We start from the raw sequence: 10220 nt of genomic DNA, 5'->3' as shown, positions 1-10220 counted from the left end.
AGCACTCCAATGCTTAGCCATTTGCAAATACAGCAACAGCCAACACCTCTCTCATAACAAAATAGAGATAGATGCCATTTTCCCCATTCCAGTAACCCAGTCTGTTAACTGCAGTTCTGCATGTTGACAGTGCAATGGTAATCATGACCCTCAGGCCCTACAAGATTGAGAAATGCCTTCTGAAGCATCAAACAGAGATTAAATTGTCTTGCCTGTAGTTACAGCGTTAATTTAAATTAGAATTCTTTGAAAACTGGTACTGGATTACCACTACTCAAAAGACATGAAATTTTATCAAAGGGTGACTCTGTATGAACCAGAATGTATGATTAACATGAACATTCTTCTCTTTTTTTTTGAGTCTTTCTAGATGCACAAGACTTTTTTTAGAAAACAATTTATTGAATATAAAAACCACCATTTGGCTGGGTGTGGTGGCTCATGCCTATAATTCCAGCAATTTGGGAGGCTGAGGCAGGAGGGTTGCTTGAGCCCAGGACTTTGAAACCAGCCTGGACAACATAGCAAGATCCCATCTTTAGTAAAAGTATAAAAAAAAAAATAGCCGGGTGTGATGGGCATGTGCCTGTAGTCCCAGCTACTCCAGAGACTGAAGTGGGAGAATCATCTGAGCCCCGGAAGTCGAGGCTGCAATAAGCTGTGATCACACCTGTGCACTCCAGCCTGGGTAATAGGAGTGAGACCCTGTCTCAAAAAATAAACAAATAACAAAAAAAAAAGCCACCATTTACTTTGGAATGGAACATGACAGTTTACAAGTGTTTCCACGTATTTCTTGTCTGATTCCAGTAACTCTTCAGAAATGTAGATGAGTAGGATGTTGAGGATAATGTCAGTGTCCCACCCAATTCCTTTTTTACTTTTACACTCAGACTTTGGTGTGCTTTCATTTCCAAACTGCAGCTCTATTTTGGAGAACTTCCCTTGGGCTATTAGAGAACACTTTGCCCAAATGGGTATAGCACTAGAAGTTTCTGGGAATTTACATTCCCTTATCCTGCCCTCAGTCCTAGCCAGTGACTGAAATGCAGGAGCATGAAAGGTTGGCCAGACATTGGTGGCTCATGCCTGTAATCCCAGCATTTTGGTAGGCAGGGGCCAGAGAATCACTTGAGGACAGGAGTTGAAAACTAGCCTTGGCAACATAACAAGACTCCATCTCCATAAAAAATTTTTTAAAAAATTAGCCAGTGTGATGGCACACACCTGTAGTCCTAACTACTCAGGAGGCTGAGGCAGGAGAATCCTTTGAGCCCAGGAGTTTGAGGTTGCAGTGAACTGTGATCATGTCACTGCACTCCAGCCTGAGCAACAGAGCAAGATGCTATCTCTAAACAAAAAAGAAGAGGAGGAAGAGGAGGAAGAAGAGGAAGAGGAGGAAGAGGAAGAAGAAGAAGAAGAAGAGGAGGAAGAGGAAGAAGAAGAGGAAGAGGAGGAAGAGGAAGAAGAAGAGTAAGAAGAAGAGGAAGAGGAAGAAGAAGAGGAAGAGGAGGAAGAGGAAGAATAAGAGGAAGAGGAAGAAGAGGAAGAGGAAGAAGAAGAGGAAGAGGAGGAAGAGGAAGAAGAAGACGAAGAGGAGGGAGAGGGAGAGGGAGAAGGAGAAGGAGAAGAAGGAGAAGGAGAAGAAGGAGAAGGAGAAGAAGGAGAAGGAGAAGGAGAAGGAGAAGAAAACAACTCTAGAGCTGCCTCCAGAGTTCCCCTGTGGGATCACGCTGGAAGGCTGGAGCTGGCCCCTGCAGGACTTTTCCTGAGATCACACCCTTGCTCTGCTTCCTCCCCTTTCCTTACTACCCCCATTCCACCACTTCCTTAATAAGCCACTCAAACCTGAAGCCACATGTAATAGCTACTCCTGGAGAGTGTGACCTAAGACTCAGGTGTAATTAATTATCAACCTCTTACAAATGGAAAAATGGACTCAGAGGAAGTTAAGTGACTTGTCCAAGATCATATAAGCTGAGTCTAGAGCCCAAGTCTTTCCATTAATCAGCCAATCAATCAATATTTACTGAGCATCTATCACTATACTCAGAATGGGGAATAATAGAGAGATAAACACGCTACAGTCCCTAACTCCATTCAAATGTACAGGCTGGTGAGAAGAAAGGCAAGACTCACCACAATGATTTTAGCTGGCAGTACTTTCCAACCGAAAGGAACTTGGAATAAAAGGGTATAGGGTATTAATTATGTCTTTTCAGGTTGATTTTGTCATGACGCCACTTGAAGTCAGTCAAAAGAGTGAGGATTTTTGCTGAACACAACTCAAGTCACCTCAAGTCTAATCAATTGCTTTCCTGCCCATCAGGGTACCACATTTAAGCAACTGCTGGGGGGAGAAATAGATAGAGAGGGGGCTGGGGAGGATGGGGACTTAATGGGATCCATGATGGAGAACTAGAAAGGAAGAAAATGGCTAGGTCCAGGAAGAATCTGACACTAAAGAGGCAGTGTTTCTGCACATGGTTACCATCCCTTCAAATGCACCCTAGGGCCATGGCCCTCAACCTCTCAGATGCCAGCTTCCTGGAGAAGGGCCGAGCCCACCCTCTGTAAACCAAAAATAAAATTCTAAGCCCCCCTCAACCATCTGAATTGACACCCTCCTCTAGGCCAGGGTGCTCCAAAGTTAACCTGAAAAACTGGTCCAGGCAATGACGGCAAGTGGGGGTAGTGGGGATGGGGCAGGCCTCATGATGCCCTCCTCCCTTTTGGAATTCAGGAAAAACCGACCATTATTTAACATCAACATAGACCTTAAGTCTGATAAGAAACATTTACAATCTGTTCTCTCTGAAGCCTGCTACCTGGAGGCTTCATGTACATGAGAAAACTTTGCTCTCCACAACCTCTTATGTAACCCAGATATTCCTTTTCTATTGATAATAACTCTTCCAACCAATTGTCAATCTGGAAATTTTAAAATCTACCTATAACCTGGAACCCTCTCCTCCACCTCCACTTCAAGGTGTCCCACCCTTCTAGATCGAACCAATGTATATCTTAAATGTACTTGATTGATGTCTCACGTCTCCATAAAATGTATAAAACCAAGCTGTGTCCTGACCACCTTGGCCACATGTCAGCAGGACCTCCTGAGGCCGTGTCATGGGTGTGTCCTTAATCTTGGCAAAATAAACATTCTAAGTGGATTGAGACCTGTCTCAGATACTTTTGGGTTTGCACCTCTTTAGGTCACCCACAACAAAGCCCAGCAGCCTCTCTGGGGCATCACTAGGACCTGGTGGCCCAGTGATCTGAATCTGCATGTCTGAGCCTGGCTCAGTTTGTCTGAGACTGACAGAGATGAAGTTACTCATCTAAGTTTACACAACCTAGTAAGAAGAAAAGCCAAGATCTGAACCCAGGAATGCCTGACTCCCAAGCCCACGCTTGAATACTGAGAAAGAAAAGGAAAGAAGAACAGCATTCTCATGAGTTCTCAGTTTTTCTCAGCAGAATAAACCACACTGGTAAGTTAGGCTGAGCAAACGCCTAAGCATAAAAGGAAATGAAATTCTCAATCAGAAACAAAAAAGCAGAATTAAGTCTTATATCACAAAGAACTAGCCTGGAAAGAAAGAGGAAAGCCTCAAAATGAGATGGAGTATAAAACAACGTAAATGTTCTAAAACTCAAAAGATGTGTCGGCTAGGAAGGAAAAGCTAAAGACAGAAGATGCTGGAGGTCATTTGTGTGGGTTTACCTTTATCTTCATGGTAACTTCACTGCAATTCCTCTGTATCACTTGCTACAAGAAAAGGAACAGCAGACATTAAAAAGGCAAGAAAAAGGTTAAGTAGTATTTTCCTAGTGTGCATCCAAACATGATTAGGATCAGGCCTTTCCTAAAAACTAGAGTACCAAAATAAGATAAATAGTTTTTTTTTGTTATTTTGTTTTGTTGTTTTTATGGTTTTTTTTTTAACATATATTCAAACAAGAGGAAACAGGAGGATGCCAGAATTTGCAAAGCCAATCTAACCTGATGTAGCAGAAAAAAATCTTTGATTACACTAACTTGAGGTTAAACCTTAGAAGAACACATAATATAGGAAATGGGCAGTCCTAAAAGTAGCTGGAAAATGACAACATAAGTGATGTCGAAAGCTAAGGAATACTTCTTTCTGTGGGAGACCACGCTCAGGATCTAACCATTTTCCAAGCACAGAAGAGGCACTCTTTCTTGGGAACGCACCTTGTGGGGAATCACAGGGATTCCCTTCTTCTACCTCCCAACCCCCTAGAAGTCTCTGCCCTCAGATCCAGGCAGAGGAATCTGAAATGCTTACTTGGCTTCCCTCTTGGGACTTGCAGTCTCATTAAAAATGCAGAGAGAGCCTGGGAGGAAAGTAAAGCCCCATTAACTTGAAGGAGGACCATTGAAATTTCCCTGTGCACACAAGTCCTTGCCAGTGCGACCTTGGCCGTTTCCCGGCCTGGAAAAAAAAAAAAAAAAAAAAAAAAAAAGTGGCGACGGTCAAACTCTCTTTTCCATGGTTTGTTGTGAGAGCTCCAAGAACATGTGGAAACACATGGCACGTGGTAGATTCTCAATAGCACTAAGCTCTCCCTCCTGAAATAGAAAAGTGCGAGACACAGGGGAAGAAGTATAAGGGGGATAAGGGAGCAGAGGAGGGGAAAGGGTTGACTAGGGCTCCAGCTGCTCCTGCCCAAAAGGGAGCTACCAGGGAGCATCCTAAGTCAACTGTATTCCATGGCTGGAAGGTGGAGCCGGGAAAAAATGGGGAGCATAGAAGAGAAGTATCTTGATACCTCAACCCAATATAGTCATGTCTAGAAGGGAGACACTTTTCCCAGGGAATGTGTAGATGAGGTCAAGCTCCAATGAGAAGCTGTGAATTAACCATAATCTTCAGAGCCCAGAGCCTGGAGAGATGCTGATGGCACCCGGAAGTAGGAACTGAAGCTCTCCTACCCGTATTATCAGTAGAGCTTTTCCCTCTGTCAAATCAGAATCCTCTGGAGGGCTTGTTAAAGGACAGATTGCTAAACCCCAACCCAGCCTTTCTGATTCAGTAGATCTGGGGTGCAGGCCAAGAATGTGCATTTCTAACAAGTTCCCGTGTGATACTAGTTCTGCTGGTCCAGGGACCACACTTTTAAGAACCGCTGTGCTATACCTTTATTTAATATCCTTATGAGAGATCCTCAGCCTAAAGCTAACAGAGACTTTGAACAACTCCTCCTCCTATTGGCGCCCCTGCACTTGAGTTGAGACATTGTGCTAGCTGACGCCTGTGAGCCCTGCCAGCTCTGGTGTTCTGCGATTTTGCAAGGGTCTAACCAATTCAGTGCATTTACTGCTTAGCTCTGGGCTGGGAATGGGGAGAGAGCAGGCGTACAAGTGTGATTGAGCGACAAGGAGAATCTCCAAAAGACAGAAAGAGCAAATACTGCATTTTTTTCCTATTTCCCTAATTTTGTTCCATACTCTAAAGCACTCTCCTGACTTCAGCTAAGCTTGCCCTGGGATCCTGGGCTTGGCAGATATTTAAAATAAAGAATGAGCTGTTTGGCAAGGTAAAGTTTTCCTAAACGTCCTCCCCACCAAAGATTCTCAGCCCCTATGGCTGTGCTTCTGTGACTCAACAGTGACATCTGGTGGCCATGAAGGTGCATCCCAAGCCCTGATAACACCTGCTCGTGCTTCTGAAAACTACGGCACATACAGGGGATGCCCAAATTGCCGTAAATAAGCTCATTTATCAATCACATATAACATACCCCTACTATCTGCAAGCAAATTGTTCTCTTGGTTGAATGCGAAAAACATTAAAGTATCTGACTTCTATTTTAAATCTCTATTCATTGACCCATTTGAAAGGATACAATCCTTAGGAGGCTGACAACCCACTGTGGTTGATGCATCTTAACTAATATTCACATTTAAACTGTTTGGTTAAAGGAATGCGTCAAAGCATTTGGCAGTGGAAAAACAACACAGCCTAACTTTGCATGCAACAATTTGATCTAAGCAAATAAATAAGTTATTTTCATTTCCAGTTTAACGTAACAAGAATATTTCTACAAGATAATTTGCTTTCAAAAATTCTAGCTGTGAAGTTTAATAACAGAACATGAAGCTTCGTGTCATTTCATATTTATGCTCCAATCCCAGTTTTGACAGTTCCCATGGGCTCTGGACTGCTTGGCTAGAGATATTTTAGGCCATGTTTTCATAACAACAGGTAGAAAACGCAGCCCTAGAGCCAGGAAAAAATAAAGAGCCTTTAATAGGGTTTTAGACATGGGACTTGCTCACCTTTTTCTCCTCCTTGCTACCAGGCAAGTTTACAACTCAAAGAAATGGTCAAGTTTTCCCTTCCAGTCTCCTAAATATATGGTACTAGACGCCTGTTCCAAGCTCGCAGTGTCAGAAAAGTCCCTTCTCTCCCCGGATTGGCTAACAGCAATGGCAGCTAGCTGGTACTGATCAAGAGTTGATGCCATGCTGGGGGTTGTGCCCAAAGCATCATACGAAGCTGGCCAAATCTCCAGGGAATCACCAGGAAGGAAGAACTATGTGTATCTCATTTCACAGATGAGGTAATGGGGCCTAGCTGGTGAGGACCTTTGCACATGGTCTCACAGATAGCATGGGTTCTGAACCCAGACATCTAATTCCAGACTAGGATCAGCCCTGGCCAGGTGTGTCAGGGTGAATCTGACCCATCCTCACCTAGTCAAACCCTTCAAAGGGCAGCTTCACCATTTTCTCTTCCTGCCCTACATTTCCCACCACTCTCACACCCACAAACCCAGCCCCTTCCAATGGCATCAGTGCCTCTTGCCAGTGAAATCTCACCCTGCTTATCACTAGCCCTCCCACAGTCCACCCTTGCTTTAAGTGGGTGACATGAATGTTAAGCATCTTAAAGGCAAGACTCATGTCTAATTTGTGTCTATATTAATCCCAAGCGCTGGCACCGGACATTATAAGCAGTCAGCGGCCAGTACATGTTTGCAGGATGAACAGATGAATAAATGGACCTGGAGAAATGCACTTCCATGCTGTAAGAGATCCCTGGGGTCAGGAAGGGAGCTAATCCCATTGGAGGGCATGGACAGTGATGATGCTAACCCCCAAAGAGTGGACAGGGGAGTGGGAGCACAGGGAGGACATCTAAGGAATGTACTCAGAAGGCATCTCTATACCCAGGTTGTCACCAACAAGCAGAGTGATCCCACCACTGAACAAGACACCTTCAAGGCAGAGTCAGGCACTGCAGCATGAAGCCAAAACAGAGGACTCTGCAACCTTCCCCCTTTAGCCCCTCTGGTGGGGCATTTAGGAAATATACAGAACCCCCCTCTCTTCTCTAGCACAGAAGTACCACCACCCCTTTCTAGACTGTGAGCTCTTCGAAGGCACAGGCTGTTTGGTTCTCTGCTAAATCCTGGATATCCTTGACACCTAGAGGAGGTTCAATAGGTATTCTTAAAGCATTCAAGCCTTAATTTCAGCAGCCACTACAAAGCAGTGGTAAGGGAGAAATCTGTGTCATATCCAGAGCAACACCCAGAATTCCTCAGTCTTTTCTGAAACAGTGATGTATCCGTCTTCATATTTTGTAGATGCTAATTGTTGACAAGATGATTTGGTAGCTCAAAAAATTGGAACTGACACCGTCAACCTGTTTAATCCATTTACAATCTTTGATCATCAGTGCAAGGGACTTTGTCAACTGAGTGAGGCCAGTTTACCTTGTGAGGCCAGCATCTTGTTTCCTATTAGTGATGAGCATTACAAGTAAGTAGATTGGCTTAGCATGTTAAATAGCATCCAACAGCCCAGCAAAAATCACACGCTAATGTAAGAAAATAGAATCTGTGAAATAAGGAGAGGGAGGATTCAAGCCAATGCACATTTACTGAGCAAAAGTTTTGCTAACTAGCTTCGCCACCACTGGACTTGCTGCACCCCATCCTCCACAAATTGTCCAAAGTGATCTTTCTAAATGCCAATTGGCTCATATTGCCTCCCTGTTTAAAATTCTTTAGTAGTTTCTCCAATCTCTTTATCATGTCATCCCAGGCTGTCTGGAATATGGGCCTTGCATACCTCCCTAGCCCAAAACATCTCCCTTTCCTCACTCCACGATATGCTACACACACTCCCCCTGTACTCCAGAAGTCTCATGGTATGCATGAATGGCTGCAGAGTCTCTTTCAACAGGACCTTTGCACATGCTCCTCCCTCCTTTTGGAATAATTTCCTCTACCCTTTCACCTAGCTAATTGCTTCAGGATTTAGACAAACTGTTTATTGCATCCAAGGAGACTTCCCTAATGTAATGGGGTTAAATGGTGGTCTCTAAAAAGATACGTCTACATCCTAAACCCCAGAACCTGTTAATGTGAAAATAAAAAGGGCCTGTAGGGCCTGGTGTGATAGATCATACCTATAATCCACCCACTTTGGGAGGCCGAGGTGGGTGGATCACTTGAGCCCAGGAGTTCAAGACCAGCCTGGGAAACATGGTTGTATTAGTCCATTTTCATGCTGCTGATAAAGACATACCTGAGACTAGGTCATTTATAAAGAAAAAGAGGTTTAATGGATTTACAGTTCCATGTGGCTGGAGAGGACTTACAATCATGGCAGAAGGCAAAAGGCACATCTCACATGGTGGCAGACAAGAGAGAAGTGAGAGCCAAGCAAAAGGGGTTTCCCCATGTAAAACCACGGCTTCTCATGAGGCTTATTCACTACCAAGAGAACAGTATGGAGGAAACCACCGTCATGATTAAATTATCTCCCACCAGTCCCTCCCACAACATGTTGTAATTATGGGAGGTACAATTCAAGATGAGATTTGGGTGGGAACACAACCAAACCACATCAATGGTGAAACCCCAGCTCCACAAAAATACAGAAAAGTTAGCCAGGCATGGTGGCACATGTCTGTGGTCTCAGCTACTCCGGAGGCTGAGGTAAGAGGATTGCTTGAGCCTCGGTGGCAGATGTTGCAGTGAGCTGAGATCACGCCACTGCACTCCAGCCTGGGTGACAGTGTGAGACCCTGTCAAGGAACGAAGGAAGGAAGGAAGGAAGGAAGGAAGGAAGGAAGGAAGGAAGGAAGGAAGGAAGGAAGGAAGGAGGGAAGGAAGGAAAGAAGGCAGGCAGGCAGGCAGGCAGGAAGGAAGGAAGGAAAGAAGGAAGGAAGGAAAGAAGGAAGGAAGGAAAGAAGGAAGGAAGGTAGGAAGGTAGGAAGGAAGGAAGGAAGGAAAGAAGGAAGGAAGGAAGGCAGTCAGGGAGGAAGGAAGGAAGGCAGGCAGGCAGGCAGGCAGGCAGGCAGGCTTGCAAATGTAGTTAAGTTAAAGATCTTGAGATATGATCATCCTAATCTGAGTGGGCCCTAAATTCAATGGCAAGTGCCCTTGTAAGAGACACACAGAGGAGCGGCACAGGGAGAAGGAGGAAAGGAGCCATGAGACTAAAGTGATGCAGCCACAAGTCAAGGAATGATGCCAGGAACCACCAGAAGCTGGAAGAGAAAAGGAAGGGTCTTCCCCCAGAGCCTTTGGAGGAAGCATGGCCCTACTGACACCTTGACTTCAGACTTCTGGCCTCCAGAACTGTGAGAGAATAAATTTCTGTTGTTTTAAGCCAGCAAGTGTGTGGGAATTTGTTACTACAGTTCTGGGAGACTAATACACTCGACCTTACCTTCAGAAGCTCCCTGTTCTGTGCTACCCCAACTCTGCACACACTCCTATCTCTGTCTTTTTTGTATGGTTTTGTGATTGCTATTTGATTTTGTTGCCTTCCACACCAGACCCTGTGCCCAGAAGGCAAAGATTTTATCTTCTGTGCTTTCTGCCATGTTCCAGCACTTCCTTGAATGGTTCGCAAGGCTGTCAGCAGGTAAAGAGCAAAAATGACCAAGAGTCTAACTTGATCTTTAAAATCCCCAAATCGACCACAAATGTCTTCTGAGGACAAGCCTATAAGTTCCCCCCTCTTGCCCCCTTGCTCAAAGCTTCTCTTGATCCTCAGTTAATTCCTGCATTTCTTTGCCAACAATGCCATCACCACCCACTTAGCCGGCCAGATGAATCATGTATCTCCCTCTTTTGTCAAAGGGTGACAAGCCCTTAAAATTATTCATAAGTAATTTCCATTGGTTTTAAGCCTCCATTCACTGTTTCAGGCTTAAGTGCATCTATTGCCT

The 10220-nt window shown here is 44.5% G+C and overlaps 1 annotated feature.

The window, feature by feature from the left end:
• Nucleotides 8743-9242: an enhancer, noted in NCBI's record as "H3K27ac hESC enhancer chr16:82293705-82294204 (GRCh37/hg19 assembly coordinates)". NCBI's record gives its function as "activates a minimal SCP1, AML or CMV promoter by ChIP-STARR-seq in primed H9 embryonic stem cells {active_cell/tissue: H9 hESC(primed)}" and the evidence as "EXISTENCE:reporter gene assay evidence [ECO:0000049][PMID:30033119]".

The sequence above is a fragment of the Homo sapiens genome, chromosome 16 (assembly GCF_000001405.40).
Source record: "Homo sapiens chromosome 16, GRCh38.p14 Primary Assembly".
Lineage (NCBI taxonomy): Eukaryota > Metazoa > Chordata > Mammalia > Primates > Hominidae > Homo > Homo sapiens.
Note: the sequence above shows the minus strand (reverse complement) of the source record. Positions and strands in the feature narration are given on the sequence as shown.